The sequence below is a fragment of the Homo sapiens genome, chromosome 5 (genome assembly GCF_000001405.40).
Source record: "Homo sapiens chromosome 5, GRCh38.p14 Primary Assembly".
In the NCBI taxonomy this organism is placed as follows: domain Eukaryota; kingdom Metazoa; phylum Chordata; class Mammalia; order Primates; family Hominidae; genus Homo; species Homo sapiens.
The window spans coordinates 110690962-110713379 of NC_000005.10; the positions used below are offsets into that span (position 1 = coordinate 110690962).

Sequence of the window (22418 nt, forward strand, 5' to 3'; positions counted from 1 at the left end):
TAGGGACTGTTGGGGGTGTGGGGGTAGGGGAGGGATAGCAATAGGAGAAATACCTAAGTTAGATGACAGGCTGATGGGTGCAGCAAACCACCATGGCATGTGTAGCAAACCACCATGACACGTGCATACCTATGTAACAAACCCACATGTTCTGCACATGTATCCCAGAACTTAAAGTATAAGGAAAAAAAAAAAAAAGAAAGAAAGGAAGCTTTGGACAATGAGGAAAATGAGTTTAAAAGCATCATTAAAGTTTAAACAGGAAATATTTCCATTCCTATCAATCACTTATTTACTAATTTATTCAGGAAAATCACAATGAGCTGATACTGAAATTATAAATCCCTGTTCTGGCATACTTAGTTAAATATTTCAAATCTCCTTTATTCACCATAGGAAGCCCTTTGTCTTTGATGCAAACTGCTAATGTGATGAATGGTTTAGGAAGGAGCTACAAAAGGGATGTAATTGTCCATGAATTCTTGTATTGGATTTATGTTGTATGCCAGTACTTTTTATTTATTTGCAACTAACAGAAAAAGAAAAATGGAAATAAAATTCTAAAAGTGGGCCAAGATGGCTTCAGGTTAGCCATATGCATAATAAAAACTAGGCCTACATACTAAAACTGAACTCTCCTCTGCAGGGCTGGATTCTGTCAAATATTTCATCAATGTTTACTGATTACAACTTTGTCTATCAGATAAAACACAAAGGCAAGATATAATAAGTCATCACTTTCCAGATCATAAGAAACCTACATGCTCATTAACATTTTACCCTACATACCGTAACCACATATTTGCTTTATCTTACATGTAATGTAAATGAGCATCACTCAAAATTATAAGAATGTCACTTTCACTTCACTGCTCCCCTTCTTCTATTTCCTATGTAACAGAATGTATAAATACAGTGTTTTGTGTAGCCCATTTGGGAACACATTCTCAATTCTTTTGTTTGTTTTTTGTTTTTTTGGGACGGAGTCTCACTCTGTCGCCCAGGCTGGAGTGCAGTGGCGTGATCTCGGCTCACTGCAAGCCCCACCTCCTGGGTTCAAGCCATTCTCTTGCCTCAGCCTCCTGAGTAGCTGGGACTACAGGCGCCCGCCACCACGCTCGGCTAATTTTTTTGTATTTTTAGTAGAGACGGGGTTTCACCCTGTTAGCCAGGATGCTCTTGTACTCCGGACTCATGATCTGCCCGCCTCGGCCTCCAAAAGTGCTGGCATTACAGTTGTCAGCCACGACGCCCGGCCACATTCTCAGTTTGCACTGACTGAGTCTGTGTTTCCCGAGCTATTAGTCCTCAAACTTGGATCAGAATAAAATTAACTTAAAATTTCTTTAAGGTGAGGGTGGAGCCAAGATGGCCGAATAGCAGCAGCTCCAGTCTACAGCTCCCAAAGTGAGCAACGCAGAAGATGGGTGATTTCTGCATATCCAACTGAGGTACCGGGTTCATCTCACTGGGGAGTGCCGGACAGTGGGTGCAGGAGAGTGGGTGCAGCACACCGTGTGTGAGCTGAAGCAGGGCGAGACATCGCCTCACACAGGAAGCGCAAGGAGGCAGGGAATTCCCTTTCCTAGGCAAAGAAAGGGGTGACAGATGGCACATGGAATATCGGGTCACTCCCACCCTAATACTGCGCTTTTCCAACGGGCTTAACAAACGGCACACCAGGAGATTATATCTCACACCTGGCGCAGAGGGTCTTACACCCATGGAGCATCGCTCATTGCTAGCACAGCAGTCTGAGATCAAACTGCAAGGCAGCAGCAAGGCTGGGGGAGGGGTGCCTGCCATTGCCAAGGCTTGAGTAGGTAAACAAAGTGGCCAAGAAGCTTGAACTGGGTAGAGCCCATCACAGCTCAAGGAGGCTGGCCTGCCTGCCTCTGTAGGCTCCACCTCTAGGGGCAGGGCACAGACAAAGAAAAGGCAGCAGTAACCTCTGCAGACTTAAATGTCCCTGTCTGACAGCTTTGAAGAGAGTAGCAGTTCTCCCAGCACGCAGTTCGAGATCTGAGAACAGGCAGACTGCCTCCTCAAGTGGGTCCCTGACCCCCGAGTAGCCTAACTGGGAAGCACCCCCCAGTAGGGGCGGTCTGACACCTCACATGGCCGGGTACTCCTCTGAGACAAAACAACCAGAGGAACAATCAGGCAGCAGCATTTGCGGTTCACCAATATCCACTGTTCCGCAGCCACTGCTGCTGACACCCAGGCAAACAGGGTCTGGAATGGACCTCCAGCAAACTCCAACAGACCTGCAGCTGAGGGTACTGACTGTTAGAAGGAAAACTAACAAACAGAAAGGACATCCACACCAAAAACCCATCTGTACGTCACTATCATCAAAGACCAAAGGTAGATAAAACCACAAAGATGGGGAAAAAACAGAGCAGAAAAACTGGAAACTCTAAAAATCAGAGTGCCTCTCCTCCTCCAAAGGAATGCAGCTCCTCACCAGCAACAGAAGAAAGCTGGATAGAGAATGACTTTGACAAGTTGAGAGAAGAAGGCTTCAGAAGATCAAACTACTCTGAGCTAAAGGAGGAAGTTCCAACCAATGGCAAAGAAGTTAAAAACCCTGAAAAACGATTAGATGAATGGCTAACTAGAATAACCAATGCAGAGAAGTCCTTAAAGGACCTGATGGAGCTGAAAACCACGGCACAACAACTACGTGACGAATCCACAAGCCTCAGTAGCCGATGTGATCAACTGGAAGAAAGGGTATCAATGATGGAAGATGAAATGAATGAAATGAAGCAAGAAGGGAAGTTTAGAGAAAAAAGAATAAAAAGAAACAAACAAAGCCTCCAAGAAATATGGGACTATGTGAAAAGACCAAATCTACGTCTGATTGGTGTACCTGAAAGTGACGGGGAGAATGGAACCAAGTTGGAAAACACTCTGTAGGATATTATCCAGGAGAACTTTCCCAGTCTAGCAAGGCAGGCCAACATTCAAATTCAGGAAATACAGAGAATGCCACAAAGATACTCCTCGAGAAGAGCAACTCCAAGACACATTATTGTCAGATTCACCAAAGTTGAAATGAAGGAAAAAATGTTAAGCGCAACCACAGAGAAAGGTCGGGATACCCACAAAGGGAAGCCCATCAGACTAACAGCGGATCTCTCGGCAGAAACTCTACAAGCCAGAAGAGAGTGAGGGCCAATATTCAACATTCTTAAAGAAAAGAATTTTCAACCCAGAATTTCCTATCCAGCCAAACTAAGTTTCATAAGTGAAGGAGAAATAAAATACTTTACAGACAAGCAAATGCTGAGAGATTCTGTCACCACCAGGCCTGCCCTAAAAGAGCTCCTGAAGGAAGCACTCAACATGGAAAGGAACAACCAGTACCAGCCACTGCAAAAACATGCCAAATTGCAAAGACCATCAAGGCTGGGAAGAAACTGCATCAACTAACGAGCAAAATGACCAGCTAACATCATAATGACGGGATCAAATTCATACATAACAATATTAACCTTAAATGGAAATGGGCTAAATGCTACAATTAAAAGACACAGACAGGCAAACTGGATAAAGAGTCAAGACCCATCAGTGTGCTGTATTCAGGAAACCCATCTCACGTGCAGAGATACACATAGGCTCAAAATAAAGGGATGGAGGAAGATCTACCAAGCAAATGGAAAACAAAAAAAGGCAGGGGTTGCAATCCTAGTCGCTGATAAAACAGACTTTAAACCAACAAAGATCAACAGAGACAAAGAAGGCCATTACATAATGGTAAAGGGGTCAATTCAGCAAGAACTAACTATCCTAAATATATATGCACCCAATACAGGAGCACCAAGATTCATAAAGCAAGTCCTTAGTGACCTACAAAGAGACTTAGACTCCGACACAATAATAATGGGAGACTTTAACACCCCACTGTCAACATTAGACAGATCAAAGAGACAGAAAGTTCACAAGGATATCCTGGAATTGAACACAGCTCTGCACCAAGAGGACTTAATAGACATCTACAGAACTCTCCACCCCAAATCAACAGAATATACATTCTTTTCAGCACCACACCACACCTATTCCAAAATTGAACACATAGTTGGAAGTAAAGCACTCCTCAGCAAATGTAAAAGAACAGAAATTATAACAAACTGTCTCTCAGACCACAGTGCAATCAAACTAGAACTCAGCATTAAGAAACTCACTCAAAACCACTCAACTACATGGAAACTGAACAACCTGCTCCTGAATGACTACTGGGTACATAAAGAAATGAAGGCAGAAATAAAGATGTTCTTCGAAACCAATGAGAACAAAGACACAACATACCAGAATCTCTGGGACGCATTCAAAGCAGTGTGTAGAGGGAAATTTATAGCACTAAATGCCCACAAGAGAAAGCAGGAAAGATCTAAAATTGACACGGTAACATCACAATTAAAAGAACTAGAGGAGCAAGAGCAAACACATTCAAAAGCTAGCAGAAGGCAAGCAATAACTAAAATCAGAGCAGAACTGAAGGGAATAGAGACACAAAAAACCCCTCAAAAAATCAATGAATCCAGGAGCTGGTTTTTTGAAAAGATCAACAAAATTGATAGACTGCTAGCAAGACTAATAAAGAAGAAAAGAGAGAAGAATCAAATAGACACAATAAAAAATGATAAAGGGGTAACACCACCGATCCCACAGAAATACAAACTACCATCAGAGAATACTATAAACACCTCTATGCAAATAAACAAGAAAATCTAGAAGAAATGGATAAATTCCTCGACACATACACCCTCCAAAAACTAAACCAGCAAGAAGCTGAATCTCTGAATAGACCAATAACAGGCTCTGAAATTGAGGCAATAATTAATAGCTTACCAACCAAAAAAAGTCCAGGACCAGATGGATTCACAGCCAAATTCTACCAGAGGTACAAGGAGAAGCTGGTACCATTCCTTCTGAAACTATTCCAATCGATAGAAAAAAGAGGGAATCCTCCCTAACTCATTTTATGAGGCCAGCATCATCCTGATACCAAAGCCTAGCAGAGACAAAACAAAAAAAGAGAATTTTAGACCAATATTCCTGATGAACATTGATGCAAAAATCCTCAATAAAATACTGGCAAACTGAATCCAGCAGCACATCAAAAAGCTTATCCACCATGATCAAGTGGGCTTCATCCCTGGGATGCAAGGCTGGTTCACCATACGAAAATCAATAAACGTAATCCAGCATATAAAGAGAACCAAAGACAAAAATCACATGATTATCTCAATAGATGCAGAAAAGGCCTTTGACAAAATTCAACAAGCTTCATGCTAAAAACTATCAATAAATTAGGTATTGATGGGACGTATCTCAAAATAATAAGAGCTATCTATGACAAACCCACAGCCAATATCATACTGAATGGACAAAAACTGGAAGCATTCCCTTTGAAAACGGGCACAAGACAGGGATGCCCTCTCTCACCACTCCTATTCAACATAGTGTTGGAAGTTCAGGCCAGGGCAATTAGGCAGGAGAAGGAAATAAAGGGCATTCAATTAGGAAAAAAGGAAGTCAAATTGTCCCTGTTTGCAGATGACATGATTGTATATCTAGAAAACCCCATAGTCTCAGCCCAAAATCTCCTTAAGCTGATAAGCAACTTCAGCAAAGTCTCAGGATACAAAATCAATGTACAAAAATCACAAGCATTCTTATACATCAATAACAAACGGAGAGCCAAATCATGAGTGAACTCCCATTCACAATTGCTTCAAAGAGAATAAAATACCTAGGAATCCAACTTATAAGGGATGGGAAGGACCTCTTCAAGGAGAACTACAAACCACTGCTCAATGAAATAAGAGGATACAAAGAAATGGAAGAACATTCCATGCTCATGGGTAGGAAGAATCAATATCATGAAGATGGCCATACTGCCCCAGGTAATTTATAGATTCAATGCCATCCCCATCAAGCTACCAATGAGTTTCTTCACGGAATTGGAAAAAACTACTTTAAAGTTCATATGGAACCAGAAAAGAGCCCGCATTGCCAAGTCAATTCTGAGCCAAAAGAACAAAGCTGGAGGCATCACGCTACCTGACTTCAAACTATACTACAAGCCTACAGTAACCAAAACAGCATGGTACTGGTACCAAAACAGAGATACAGACCAACGGAACACAACAGAGCCCTCAGAAATAATGCCGCATATCTGCAACCATCTGATCTTTGACAAACCTGACAAAAACAAGAAATGGGGAAAGGATTCCCTATTTAAGAAATGGTGCTGGGAAAACTGGCTAGCCACACATAGAAAGATGAAACCAGATCCCTTCCTTACACCTTATACAAAAATTAATTCAAGATGGATTAAAGACTTACATGTCAGACCTAAAACCATGAAAACTCTAGAAGAAAACCTAGGCAATATCATTCAGGACATAGGCATGGGCAAGGACTTCATGTCTAAAACACCAAAAGCAATGGCAACAAAAGCCAAAATTGACAAATGGGATCTAATTAAACTGAAGAGCTTCTGCACAGCAGAAGAAACTACCATCAGAGTGAACAGGCAACCTACAGAATGGGAGAAAATTTTTACAATCTACTCATCTGACAAAGGGCTAATATCCAGAATCTACAATGAACTCAAACAAATTTACAAGAAAAAAACAAACAACCCCATCAACAAGTAGGCAAAGGATATGAACAGACACTTCTCAAAAGAAGACATTTATGCAGCAACAGACACATAAAAAAATGCTCATCATCACTGGCCATCAGAGAAATGCAAATTCAAACCGCAATGAGATACCATCTCACACCAGTTAAAATGGCGATCATTAAAAAGTCAGGAAACAACAGGTCCTAGAGAAATAGGGACACTTTTACACTGTTGGTGGGACTGTAAACTAGTTCAACCATTCTGGAAGTCAGTGTGGCGATTCCTCAAGGACCTAGAACTAGAAATACCATTTGACCCAGCCATCCCATTACTGGGTATATACCCAAAGGATTATAAATCATGCTGCTATAAAGACACATGCACACGTATGTTTATTGTGGCACTATTCACAATAGCAAAGACTTGGAACCAACCCAAATGTCCAACAATGATAGACTGGATTAAGAAAATGTGGCACATATATACCATGGAATACTATCCAGCCATAAAAAAGGATGAGTTCATGTCCTTTGTAAGGACATGGATGAAACTAGAAACCATCATTCTCAGCAAACTATCACAAGGAAAAAAACCAAACACCGCATGTTCTCACTCATAGGTGGGAATGGAACAATGAGAACACATGGACACAGGAAGGGGAACATCACACACCAGGGACTGTTGTGGGGTGGGTGGAGGGGGAGGGATAGCATTAGGAGATACACCTAATGCTAAATGACAAGGTAATGGGTGCAACACACCAACATGGCACATGTATATATATGTAACGAACCTGCACATTGTGCACACGTACCCTAAAACTTAAAGTATAATAATAAAATTAAAAAAAAATGTCTTTAAGGTATAATGCCTTTTACTTAACCTTTAGGTTGACAGATGGCATAGTCGGCAGAATTCCAGCCAGATTCAGGGACACACAGGACTCATCTTAAGGAACTCAGTTCTTGGTACCAGCACAAAAGCATTGTGTTTGATCCAACTCTAGGGGAACCACTGGGTTTACATGGTGGGTTACCTGGAATCCAGTCGTCCCTCTCTTTTGCTAGAGGTCTAAATTAGCTTTACTTAGGACCTCTAAGAGGAGTAGTACATCATGTGTTTGCTAAGTTCTCCCTAGGGTTATCCCTTTGTTCTAAATTGCTACGAAGAAAGGAAAGAAAAGTAAGGTCAACCAAGCATTGCTGCAGTTAAAATGGTGGTTTCTTTGATCAGCTGAATGTTTCTCTTTTCAAACCTCTTTTGTCTGTACCAACCCTTTTATATTCCTTCTGAGAGCAATTGCGATAAAATTGCTCCAAAGTTATGAGACATTTGCTCCCTCCAGCCCAAATCTCAGATATTCTTAGGTAACTAAGGATCTCTTAGAGGTGTTGGAAGGGGATCTCTCCTGATGGGCAGTCCCATAGGGTTCCCCCAGAAGGACAAAAACAAACAAAACAAAACAAAACAAAACAAAAACAAACAAACAAACAAAAAAAGCAGGTAAAATACTTAAGGTCCTCTGGGAAATGCTCACAAATGGGTGGTCACCTAGCATTTGGAGTACTGCACTGCCTCGCATGAAGGTGAGCTTTCTTGAGACACATGAGGGTAACCTACTTGGGGTTGAGAGCCTGAGGAGTGTACCTCTTAGCAATACACCTTTGACCTTAAATACATCCTTGACTTGGTGTAGACAAAGGAGAGAAGAGGGGAAAACATAAGAAATAATACATCTAACTGAAAGTATAAGGAAAACACCTCCTAAGACACCAGCTGGATTTATGACTAAAAATTATAATGCTTCTTGTAAATTTTTGACTCATTAGACCAACATCATTAAAAATGAAATTAGTTTAATTTGGCCAAAATGGGACTCTTTTGAGATCCCGAAACTGGTTTACTTATGGGCACAATTGCAAAGAGCTGGCTCAAGAATTAAGCAGAAAGAATGGGATAGAATTTCAAATGGCATTTAGAAACTTTACAAAGGGGAATGATAAAATTGCTTCTATACATGAAGTGAACCACAATATCTTGGAAACCATTTCTCGACTGAAAAAATTATTCAAAGTTTCCACTGTTTTGCCTTCTCTTGCTACCACTCCTTCCCCTCTGCTTCTTGAACCTTCCTCTCACTTGGTTTCAGAACTGCCTTGTCCAGATTTTCTTCACTCCCTCCTCCACCACCCTCTGAGGTTTTAGCAGCACTCTTTAGAGAAAAAACTAAACCAAGTGGGGAACCTTCAATAACCTATATCTCCAGGACTAAGGCATAATTCAGAGATAGTGCTAAGGAGTTTCCTGATCCTACCCAAGATCCTGTAGGTGTCACTAAGAAATTCAATCTAACCACCAGGACTTATGAACCTGACTATTGAGATTTATAACAATTAATTTATATGCTGGCATCTGAAAGAAAAAGCTGAATAATGGCTATCAAAAGGTTGACTAGAAAAATCCACTAAGCAATTTTCTTAAGCAGACAGCTGAAGACAGGGAGAAGGCCCAAGAACCAGTAAATTGTTTCGCACAAATAATTCCCCAGGTATTTTCTAAGATTGCTTGCTGGTCAGTCTAAAGTCCAGCACTGTAAACAGGACCAAATGAAACTATGCTAGACTATTATATTGAAAGATTTGAAAAGGTTTTCAAACAATATTTGGGAATGAATGAAGACAGTCTAAGGAATTGTCAAAATGATTCTTTATTAAATTCAACCTTTCTTAACAGATTGGATGAGCAATTGGCCAATGTGGTCAAATTGCACCAAATAAATTGGGATTGCGTACACACTTCGGAATTAGGGAAACTGATAAACTGACCAAAGTTATACAGCCAAAGAAGGATAACAAGATCACTAAAATCACGAACTTACAACTCCAGCAACTCACTGGTCAGATATGCAGATCAAAATAGAGGACTCCCTTTCCAAAGGGAACCTCAGAAACATCTAAATGTGTCTGTTATTATTGCAAGGAACCAGGACATCTGAAGAAAGATTGCAAAAAGTTGAAATGGGCACAGAAATTAACAAGAATAAATATAAAAGAAAGAAGAGGTATGGGAGGCTCTGAGGAAATAAAGAGGGCCTTTCCCTTGCTTTTAAGTCATAATCTGGGGGAAGTGAAGATAGATAAATAGGTAGATAGGTAGGTAGGTAGGTAGGTAGATAGATAGATAGGTAGATAGATAGATAGATAGATAGATAGATAGATAGATAGATATAATAGAGAACAAATTAAAGCATTAATTGACACAAGAGCTACCTTTTCTATCCTCAACCCCACCTTTCCTAAAGAGCCTTCTTCCTCAGAGTAATCAAACTATTCAAATATTAGGGGTATCTAATCAACCAATGACACTATATAAATCAAAACTTTTGCCTTTACAATTAGGAAATTTAGATGAATACCATTCTTTCCTTTTGGTGCCTTCCACACCAAAACATTTGATAGGAAGAGATTTTCTGGAACTTTATAATGATCATATTTTCTTCTCAAAAAGAAGGAAAATGATTTTGGAAATGACTGAAAAAGAACTGACTAAAAATGACAGATCTGAAATTTTGAATCAGATTAAAATTAAAATTCAAACACCAAGTATTATAACAGAAAAAGAACTTGATGATTTGCTAACACATATTCCTAACTATGGTTCCAATCATCTACTGAAATAGAAGGAATTTTAGTGGCCAATACAAGTACAGGTGGATCCAAATAAGCCACTTTTGAATATTAAACAATATCCATCAAAACAGGAAGCTGTAATAGGAATAAAACCAACAATCAAAGATTTCATTGATAAAGGATTATCTCTTATTTCAGTCTTTGTAATAGCCCCATGCTCCCAGTAAGAAAATCTTATAGGAAAGGATAGAGATTTGTACAAGGTTTGAGCATTATTAACAATATTATGATTCCCCATCATCCAGCAGTCCCAAGCTCTCATACTCTTTTGTCCAATATACTTGTAAGCAATTAATATTTTACTGTAATTAATTTACATATGTTTCTTTAGCATACCAATAGACCCTGTCAGTAAATATTTGTTTGCCTTTACCTGAGATGGCTTTCAATATACCTAGAATGTTATGCCTCAAGTTATACCAAAAGTCCAACTTATCTTTTGTAAATATTAAGGGCTGACCATGCTGAGCTAAATTTTGAAGGAAATTCCATTCTACTTAAGTATATGGATGATCCCTTGTTATGCTCCACAAATCTGCTATATTGTAAAACCTATTCCCTGTACTTGCTGGAACAGTTAGCAAAGAGAAGTCATGAGGTATCCAAAGAAAAACTCAAATTTTGCTTAACAGAAGGAAAATATTTGGAACATTTAATTTCTAAGGGGGGACTACACATAAATCCAAATTGAGTAACTAGAATTCTTGTATACCCCACTCCAAAAACTAGACAGCTAAGGGGGGTTTTAGGTTTAGCTGGCTACCCTAGCTGGATCTCCAATTTTACTCTCATGGTACAGCAGTTATATACATTGTTGAAAGAAGATCAACTTAAGCCCACGTACTGAACATCAGAAGAACAAAGAGCTATTCAAGAAAAAAAAGAAAATCTTACAATAGCCCCTGTTTTGGGCCATATTTGGGCTGCTGCTTTTCCTTTTTTTCTCATGAGAGCCACGGCAGCATGCTGAGGGTTCTAACCCAAAACCATGGAGGACAGTATAGTCCTATTTTCTTATAATAATCTATTGGCTATGATAGTCAGCAATTATGCCCTGTAGCATACCCCCTTGTCTGAGGGCCACTTTAGCCATTGCCATGCTCCTTAAGGCCACTCAGGAAATTGTAATGGATGCTCTGTTGACTTTATATGTATCTCACTCTGTAGAAGCTCTCTGGAATTCACATATCATACTCAGCATTTTTCTGTTAGCAGACTGGATTCTTAAGTACTCTTACTCTCTCATCCACATGTTACTATCTCTCCCTGTAATACTCTTCATTGCCTCTGTTTTTGCTGCCTGAAACAGTTGATGAGATAACTCATTACTGTATTTTTCTCACAGAACAGCTTTTGATGTCCAGACAGGATTTACAGGAGACACTCCCGGAAAATGCTGATGTTATCTGATTCATTGATGGATCATACCTAAGGGATGGATTTGGGAAATAACGGGCAGGCTATGCCATTGTGTCCCTTGTGGACATCATAGAAAGCAATCCCTTACCTAAAGAAAAATCAACATAGTTAGCTTAGTTAACAGCACTCATCAGAGCTTGTCATTTGGCCAAAAAACAAATGGCTAATATTTACACTGACAGACGTTACATGTAGCTCATGACCTTGGAATGTTATGAAAGCAAAAAGAACATTTAAACTACTCTGGACAATCTAGCAAACATAGCTGTCAGGTTTCTGACCTCCTCCTAGAAGCCATCCAATTACAAAAAAATAAGTGGCTATTACAATTCCTGGACATCCCAAACTTGACTCTCCGGAGGGTAAAGGAAATCATTTTGCTGATGAAGCAGCCAAAAAGGCTACTATAACACAAATAGCAGATGAAACTACAAAGGTAGCTATGTTTAAAAGAAATTCCATCAAAAAGGAGCTCCGTGAAACTCAAGAAAAGGCTTTAGAGAGAAAAAGGCAGATATAGCTAATCAAGGGGGAGTGCTACCTCCCAACAAAAGCCCCCCACCCTTGCTTGTAATTTATGGTATGGACCCAACGACAGACCTATTTTGCTGATGGGATTTCAGTTTGCTATGCTACAACATGTTTATAAGCTTACTCACTGGGGACCTAAGAAAATGACTGCCTGGGGAAACCAATATTATGGGAAACCCTTACTAGCATAGCTTATAAGGTTTATGCAAAATATCCAATTTGTTCAAAGCATAATCCAGGGAAGCCTTTTCACGGATCTCAAGGTTGTTTCTCTTTGCCCATCAGAGCTTTTGAAATTTGGCAAATGGATTTTATCCAATTACCTCCAGACCAAGGTTATAAATACGTATTAGTTAAGATGTGCATGTTTTCTCATTATGTTGAAACATTTTCTTGTAGAACAGCCACTGCACAAGGAGTAGGAAAATATTTATTTTGGAACAGGTAACTCCCTCTTGGGGAATTCCTTCCAAATTACACAGTGATAGGAAACTCATTTTTGTGGGACAGATAGTTCTCTCAGTTTGTAAAATCAGGCCCATTTTCCAATATTTTTATTGTGTAAACCATCCACAGTCCTCTGCATTGGTGGAATGAACAAACAGAATAATAAAAACCCAACTGTCAAAATTAACTAAAGCTTTTCAAATTACTCGGCCCAAGTCTCTTCCATTGGTTTTAGTTAACCTAAGAGCAACTCCTTTTGAAAAACATCAATTATCCCCCTGCAAGATAATTACAGGTTAATCTGGATGAGACTGGATAGAGGATTTCTCCATCCTCATTCAATAACAAACCAACTTATTGAAAGGGGATACGCTCCATTTCTGTCAAGGCTTAACCAAACTTCTCTCCCAAAAAGCTAAATTGATAAAACTCTTTTTACAGTGCACTGCTGAGCAATAAAGGTCTTAAGTATCATGATCACTAGACATAGGACTATGTTTATTGGAAGAGACATCAACTAAAGGGTTCACCTGAACTTTGTTGGAGAGAACCTTATCAAGTATTATTGACATACCATACCTGTGCAGCTATAATCACTGTGCAACTAAACTTGATATGGTTGACTCCTGGTGTTACATTTCTCATTTAAAGAAAACTCCAACACCTGAATGGACTTCTGAGTCTACCAGAGATCTCCAGTTAAAGACCTCTAAGATTCCTGAGCCCTTCAAGGATGGAAAGTAGATGACATCTGAGTAAACAGCATTTTCCAAAATACTGGACCAGGTCTGTACTCATGTCAATTTTTTTAACATATACCTTTTGTTTTTGTATTTTTGTTATGATGACTGAATGTCTGGTAATTCCCCCTGCTTTGCTTGATTCCCATTCCTCTTACTAGGAAACCACTAATCTAATTAATATGGAAGTAGGGCAAACCTTTATTTTTCATTATCAAGTGGACATTGAAACCCTGATGTCAAGTTTTTGTAACTAGCCCAGTGCTCCTACAGCATCTTCTTTTTAGGATTAAGATACTACCAGGGCCCCCGTTTAAGGAAACACATCCAGGAAGTTCTTCCCAATTCCATGCCTGATTGGGCAGTTTTTAATACTTTGCAAGTAGATCACTGTATTACTATGAATATAGTTAATCAGTTAGTATCCAAAAGCCCTGATAAAATGGAAGACAGCTTCAGCTAGTGTGCCTTGTCATAGTATTTCTTGTTCTGGGGGTCAGGGACCTTATTTTTGTGACTGGAGGTCTATGAAACATTCTAATGAAACTGGGATTCATACAATGGGGATTACTTGGTGAACAAGGATATCACTGAAGGACAATTTGAGGATCCAACCAGAGAGAATGTGAAAAGCCTTTTGGCATATCCAAACTAAACTATATCTACAGGTAACTTCTACCCATCTCACCTGAACTTGGAACACCCAACATTTTGGGTTGTCAACCTGTACCCAAACTGCACTCCTGCTATAAATGCCCAATGGCAATAACATATTTGCTGTCTTATCAAACATGTCTTATCAACAACCCAAACATGTTTGATAACACAGCACTGGCCAGCTAAGGTCAAAACAGCATTAGGTGCCATAGGGGCAGGACTTAGGATATTAGGACAAGTTGGGAATGTATTTAATAAAGAAATATATTGACAAGAAGAGTCAATACTTACCAATCTAAATAGAAGGAATACTCTTTCAGAAGGAATATAAGGGTTGGAAGCTGCATGGAAAGATAATGATGCTACTGCTAAGTGGGTAAATCAAACTGCTCAAGTAATGAGGAACTATGCCAAAACTCAGCAATGGGAAAAGGCATGTGTCCAAACTCAACAAGGTTTGCTGACCATGCTAATTCAAATGGAAGCAGAGTACCTCTAAAACATGACCAACCATTTTGGATGCAGAAGCAGAAGGTATACATTTGTGGAAAAAATATAGACCCTCTTTTTTCTGAAAAATTACTACCAGGGTTAAGCACCCTGCATATACAGTATATGTGTGTGTATATATATATATATACACACACACACATATGTGTGTGTGTGTGTATGTGTGTGCGTGTGTGTGTGTGTGTGTATGTGTGTGTATAAAATACTTCAATTTCAGTTCTACATAGTAAAGACATTCAGGAAGAATGGTACTGTCCCCAAAATGTGTGGAATCCTGAAATCACGGACCCTAATTTCAACCCCCCTCCAAAATAATATATGCTATATAGGAAAAGGATGCTTCTGTTGGGAAGGGAAAAGGAATGAGACTATAACTGCTTCAGATCTTGCTTGCAATCAGATAATATTTGATTTAAATTAAACGGCTATTTGGTGTAATACTGGCTTCATAGGGAAGTTACTTCTAGGAAAAAAATAACACTTATAATAATGAAGACATTGATAACCAAGTATTTTGGGAATTTGAACTCGATCCTTCTCAAGCTGTACTCCCAGCAGCAAAAGATTGTCCAAACCAGCGATGAGATATTATAAATGATCAGTTAATTACAGTTCTAAATGAAATCAAAGATATTTTGAGGTACAAATACAAAGAAAAAGGAAAAATTTATCTGATTATTCACAGACTACCAAAATGTATGCTCAGGTGATGTATGTTCCAACTATCAAAATGTATGTTCTTTTCTATAATATGTTGTTTCTTTTCTATTGTCTTTACCACAGTGGACCTCTCAGTTACTCACTGTATTATTGATTATTTTTCTAATGTTTCTATGTTACAAATGTTATAAATGCTGCAAAGGTTACTTACAAATGTCACAAAAGGAATACAACTCTAACCAAAATTGTAGTTCATCAATTTGAACCCGAGGACACAGAATGCGTATAAAGGTGGTCTTCTAATGCCCATTTTGCCTCTTTCCTCTATTTCTGACTGACTGAGGGCTTTTCATTTTTATTTTTAATCTCAAATTCTCAAGAATTATTAAAAGTACATCACATTGAATATTCTTCCACCCAGCTCCTCAAGGCATCTCAGCAATACTGCAGACAATGCAACACATCATCACATCTCAAGAGCGCCTAAAGAAATAATCCCAATGCAGTGATTATCTCATTTCTCTGTGAAATGAAAAGACACCAGCATAGGATAAGAGCCTTTTCACATAATGAAAAGAAATACAGTAGCTTTTGCATTCTCATTGACATAGCAGAGGATGGTGTTTCACATAGGAATTAAAAAGAGAACAAGGGCATTTCAGAATTCCAATTTGATCCCCTAAATGCTATAATTCTAAAAAATGAGACCTGTCCTCTTCAAATCTCTAAATTATTTTATATAGTCTTCAAAGTCCTCCCTTGGATGATATCAACCAAAAGGGAGAAATTTTCAGAAAAAGGAATATCCAAATAAAATTGTAAAAGTGGAAGCAAGATGGCAGAATAGAAGCCTACACCACTTGGCACCTCCTCCCTTGCAGGAACACCAAATTTTAACATGTGCACACAGAAAAGCACTATCACAAGAACCAAAAATCAGATGAACAATTACAGTACCTGATTTTAACTTCATATTACTGAAAGAGGCATTGAAGAGGGTCAGAGAGACAGTCATGAATCACCGAAACCACACCTACCCCATTCCCCAGCCGATGGCACCATGGCACAGAAAAAGAATGTGTGTAATTGGAGGAGGGAGAGTGCAGTAACTGCAGGACTTAACGTTGAAATCAATGCTGCCCTGTCACAGTGGATAACAAAGCTCTGCTGGGCACAGCCAGAACCTGTGCATGAAAGTAGCAGTTGGACCAGACTTAGCTAGGAGGGAATCACCCATCCCAGCAGTTGGAATTTGAGTTTCTTGGCAAGCCTTGGCACCACAGGCCAAAGTGCTCTGCAGTTCTAGACAAACTTGAAAGGTAGTCATGGACACAAAGACTGCAATTCCCAGGCAACAACTAGTGTTGGGTTGGACTCAGAGCCAGTGGACTAGAGTGGCACCAGCCTAGAGAGGCAACAACCAGGGCAGCTAAAAGGAATGCTTGCTTCAACCCTCTTCCAACCCCAGGCAGTGCAGCTTGCAGCAATGAAAGAGACTCCTTCCTTCTGCTTAAGAACAGGAGAGTGAAGAGTAAAGGGGACTTTGTCTTACATCTTGGATACCAGCTCAGCCACAATAGGTTAGGCACCGTGCAGAGTCATGAGGCTCCTGTTCCAGACCCCAGCTTATGAAGACATTTTTAGACACACCCCGGGCCAAAAGGAAACCTGCTGCCTTGAAGGGAAGAACTCAGTCCTGGGAAGATTCATCACCTGCTAACTAAAGAGCCCTTGGGTTCTAAATAACCAACAGAAATATCCAGGTATTACGCCATGAGCCTTGGGTGAGACTCTAAGACATGCTGACTCCAGGTGAGATCCAGTACACTTGCAGTTATGGTGGCTACAGTAAAAGACTCCTTCTCTCTGCAAAAAAGCAGAGGGGCAGGTAAAGGTGACATTGTCTTGCACTTTAGGTCCCAGCTTGGTCATAGCAGGGATAGAGCAACAAGCAGGCTCTTGGAATCCTGAATAGTATATATCTGGTGAAAATATCCTTCAAGTATGAAGAAGAAAAAAGACTTTCCAAGGCAAACACAAGTTGAGGGATTTCATCAACACCAGTCCTTTCCTACAAGAAATGCTAAAGGGACTTCTTCACAGAAAGAAAAGGACATTAATGAGAAATAAGAAATCATGTGAAGGCACAAAATTCACTGGAAATAGTAGGCATGCAGAAAAATTCAGAATATTATAGCATTGTAATCATGGTATGTAAACTACTCTTAAGTAGAAAAACTAAAAGATGAACCAATCAAAAACAATAACTACAAAACTTTTTGAGACATAGACAGTATAGTAAGACATAAAGTTAAAAAACAGGTGGATGAAGTTAAAAAGAGTTTTTATTAGTTTTCTTTTTGTATGTTTATTTCATTATGCAATCAGCACTGTTGTCATCAGTTTAAAATAATGGGTTATAAGACAGTATTTGCAAGCCTAATGGTAAGTGCAAATTGAAAAATATGCAACAGATTCACAAAAAATAAAAAGCAAGAAATTAAGTCATACCACCAGAGAAAAACAATTTCACTTAAATAAATAAAAACAAAGACAGGAAGAAAGGAAAGAGGGAACAGAAGACCGCAAAACAAATAACAAAATGGCAGGAGTAAGTCCCTACTTTTCCACAATAACATTGAATGTAAATGGGGTGAACTCTTCAATAAAAAAAAATATAGTGGCCGAATGGATGAAAAAACAAGACCTAATGATCTCTCCTTTACAACAAACATACTTCACCCGTAAAGATACAAATAGACTCAAAATAAAGAGATGGAAAAAAGATATTCCACGTGAATGAAAACCAAAACACAGAAGGAGTTGCTATACTTATTTAAACAAAATAGAGTTCAAGACAAAAACCATAAGAAGAGAGAAACAAGGTCATTATTAAATGATAAAGTGGTCAATCCAGCAAGATGATATAAAAATTGGAAATATATATGCACCTAAAACTGGAGCACACAGATACATAAGGCAAATGTTATTAGAGCTAAAGAGAGAAATAGATCTCAGCGAATGAATAGCTGGAGACTTCAATACCCCACTTTCAGCATTAGACACATCTTCCAAACAGAAAATCGACAAAGAAACATCAAATTTAATTAGCACTATAGGACAAATGGACCTAATAAATATTTACAGAACATTTCATCCAACAGCTGCAGAATACACATTCTTCTCTTCAGCACATGGATCATTCTCTAGAATAGACCATATGTTAGGTCACAGAATTGGGTCCAAAAAATTCAAAAAAAATGAAATTGTAATCAGGCATCTTCTCTGAACACAATGCAATCCAACTAGAAACCAATAGAAGAGGAATTTTGGAAACTATACAAACACGTGAAAATTAAACGATGCGCACCTGAATAACAAGTGGGTCAATGAAGAAATTAAGGTGGAAATTTAAAAATTTATTGAAACAAATGTTAATGGAAACACAACATACCAAAATCTATGGGATATAATGAGAGCAGTACTAAGAGGAGAATTTATTGCTATAAATGGCTACATCAAAAAAGAAGAAACACTTCAAATAAGTAACCTAATGATGCATCTTAAAGAACTAGAAAAGCAAGAGCCAATCAAACCCAAAATTAGTAGAAGAAAAGAAATGAGACATGCTGACTCCAGGTGAGACCCAGTCTAATCTAAAGATTACAGCAAAAATAAGTGACTTTGAAATGAAGAAAAAAATCAAAAAAATCAATTACCATGAAAGCCAGTTTTTTGAAAAGATAAACTTGGAAAACCTTTAGTTAGACAAATTAAGAAAAAAAAAGGCAGATGACTCAAATAAAATCAGAGACGAAAAAAGAGACATTGCAATAGATACCGCAGAAATTCAAAGGATCATTAATGGCTACTAGGAGCAACTCTACGCCAAAAAATCAGAAAATCTAGAGGAAGTAAATTGCTAAACACATACAACCTACCAAGATTGAACCATGAAGAAATTCTTAATCTGAACAGACCAATAACAAGCAATAATATCAAATCCATAATAAAATGTCTTCCAGTGCAGGACTCAATGGTTTCACTGCTGAATTCTATCAAACATTTAAAGAAGAATACCACTGTACTCAAACTATTCCAAAAAATATAGGAGGAAGGAATATCTCTAAACTCATTCTATGAGGCCAGTATTACTCTCACAGCAAAATCAGACAAAGACATATTAAAAACAAAAAACTACAGGCCAATATTTCTGATGTATATTGATGCAAAAATCCTCAACAATATCTAGCAAACCAATGTCAATGATACATTAGAAAGATTATTCATCATGACGAAGAGAAATTTATCCCAGGGATGCAAAGATGCTTCCATGTATGCAAATCAATCAATGTGACACACTATATCAACACAATAAAGGACAAAAACGATACAATTATTTCAATTGGTGAGATGATTGATAAAAATCAACATCCTTTTATGATAAAATTCAACATCCCTTCATGATAAAAACCCTTGAAAAAACTGGGTATAGAAGGAACATACCTCAACATAATAAAAGCCATATATTTCAGACTTGCAGCTAGTATCACACTGAATGGGGAAAAATGGAAACAGCCTTTCCTCTAAAATCTGGGACATGACAAGGATGCCCACTTTCACCACTGTTATTCAACATAGTACTGGAAGTCTTAGCTAGAGCAATCAGACAAGAGAAAGAAACAAAGGGCATCCAAATTGGAAAGAAAGAAATCAAATTATCCTTGTTTGCAAATGATATGACCTTGTATTTGGAAGAATCTAAAGACTTCACCAAAAAACGATTAGAACTGACGAACAAATTCAGTAAAGTTGCAGAATACAAATAAATACACAAAAATCAGTAGCATTTCAATATGCCAACAGTGAAGAATGTGAAAGAGAAATCATGAAGCAATTCCATTTACAAGAGGTACAAATAAAATTAAATACCTAGGTATTAACCAAAGAAATGAAAGATCTCTCTAATGAAAATTACAAAACACTGGTGAAAGAAATTGAAGAAGAGACACAAAAAAACTGAAATACATTTCATGTTCATGGATTGGAAGAATCAATATTGTTAAAATGTCCACAGTACCCAAGACAATCTACAGATTCAATGCAATCCCTATCAAAATACCAATGAAATTCTTCAGAGTAATAGAAAAAAACTATCCTAAAATTTATATGAAACCACAAAAGACCCAGAACGGCCAAAGCTATTCCTAGAAAAAAGAACAAAATTGGAGGAATCACATTAACTGACTTCAAATTATACTACAGAGCTTCAAATATACTTCAAATTATACTATAGGAACCAAAACAGCATGGTATTGGCATAAAAACAGACACATAGACCAATGGAGCAGAAGAGAGAATCCAGAAACAAGTCCACACACCTACAATGAACTCATTTTTGACACAGGTGCCAAGAATATACACTGGGTAAAAGACAGTCTCTTCAATAAGTAGTGCTGGGAAAACTGGATATCCATAAGCAAAAGAATGAAACAAGACCCTTGTCTCTTGAAATATACAAAAGTCAAACCAAAATGGATTAAAGAGTTACATTTAAGAATCAAACTCTGGGCCAGGTGTGGTGGCTCACGCCTGTAATCCCAGCACTTTGGGAGGCCGAGGTGGGCAGATCACGAAGTCAGGAGAACAAGACCATACCGGCTAACACAGTAAAAACCTGTCTCTACTAAAAATACAAAAAATTAGCCAGGCGTGGTGGCACCTGTAGTCCCAGCTACTCGGGAGGCTGAGGGAGGAGAATGGCGTGAACCCGGGAGGCAGAGCTTGCAGTGAGCAGAGATCGTGACACTGCACTCCAGCCTGGGGGACAGACAGAGCGAGACTCAATCTCAAAAAAAAAAAAAAAAAAAAAAAATCAAACTCTGAAACTACTACAAGAAAACCTTGAAGAAACTCTCCAGGACATTGGTCTGGGCAAAAATTTATTGAGTAATACCCCATGAACACAGGCAACCAAAGCAAAAGTAGACATAGTGATCACATCAAGTTAAAAAGCTTCTGCACAGCAAAGAAAACAATCAACAAAGAGACCACCCAAAGACTAAGAGAAAATAGTTGCCAACTATCCATCTGACAAGGGTTTAATAACCAGAATATATATGGAGCTCAAACAACTCTATAGGAAAAAAAATCTAATAATCTAATCAAAAAGTAGGCAAAATATCTGAATAGATATTTTTCAAAAGAAGTCACACAAAAGGCAAAAAGTCATATAAAAAGGTGTTCAACATCATTGATCATCAGAGAAATGCAAATCAAAACCTTTTACCCTATATACAGTGGTAACCACATATTTGCTTTACCTTGTGTAAAAAGTCCCTGACCACCGATCAAAATGGAAAGAACGTCCCCTTTGTTTCACTGCTCCCCTTCTCCAATTTTCTATGTATCAGAATATATAAATATTGTGTTTTGTATAGCCCACTCGAGGAGATACAATGTCACCCATTTAAAATGGCTTTTGTCCAAAAGACATGCAATAACAAATGCTGGAGAGAATGTGGAGAAAAGGGAGCCCACCATACCTTGTTGGTGGGAATACAAATTAGTACAACTACTATGGAGAACATTTTGGAGGTTCCTCAAAAAACTAAAAATAGAGCTACCATAACATCTAGCAATATAACTGCTGTGTATATACCCCAAAGAAGGGAAATTAGTATATCAAAAAGATATCTGCACTCTCATGTTTGTTATAACACTGTCCACAAAGCCAAGATTTGGAAGCAACCTAAGCGTCCATCAACAGATGAGTGGATAGAGAAAATGTTTTTACACACAATGGAGTACTATTCAGCCATAAAAAGGAATAAGATTCTCTAATTTGCAACAATATGGATAGTCATTATGTTAAGAGAAAAAAAAAACAGGCACAGAAAGACAAACATCACAGGTTTTCACTTATTTGTGGGATCTAAGATTCAAAACAGTTGAACTCATGGAGATAGTACAAGGATTGTTAGTACAGGCTGGGAAAGGTGGTAAGTGGTGGGACAGAAGTGAGGATGGTTAATAAGTGCAAAATATTTATATATAAAGAATGAGTAAGACCTAGTATTTGATAGTACAATGGGCTTACTATAGTCAATAATAATTTAATTATAA

At 38.4% G+C, this 22418-nt stretch overlaps 1 protein-coding gene across 20 annotated transcripts in view, besides 1 other annotated feature; it reads right to left on the reverse strand.

Moving 5' to 3' along the window:
- The window catches only part of TMEM232 (transmembrane protein 232), a 351524-nt gene that overhangs the window by 303531 nt on the left and 25575 nt on the right, over positions 1-22418 (reverse strand). The window lies entirely within an intron of this gene.
- Positions 1128-1628: an enhancer, noted in NCBI's record as "H3K4me1 hESC enhancer chr5:110027790-110028290 (GRCh37/hg19 assembly coordinates)". NCBI's record gives its function as "activates a minimal SCP1, AML or CMV promoter by ChIP-STARR-seq in primed H9 embryonic stem cells {active_cell/tissue: H9 hESC(primed)}" and the evidence as "EXISTENCE:reporter gene assay evidence [ECO:0000049][PMID:30033119]".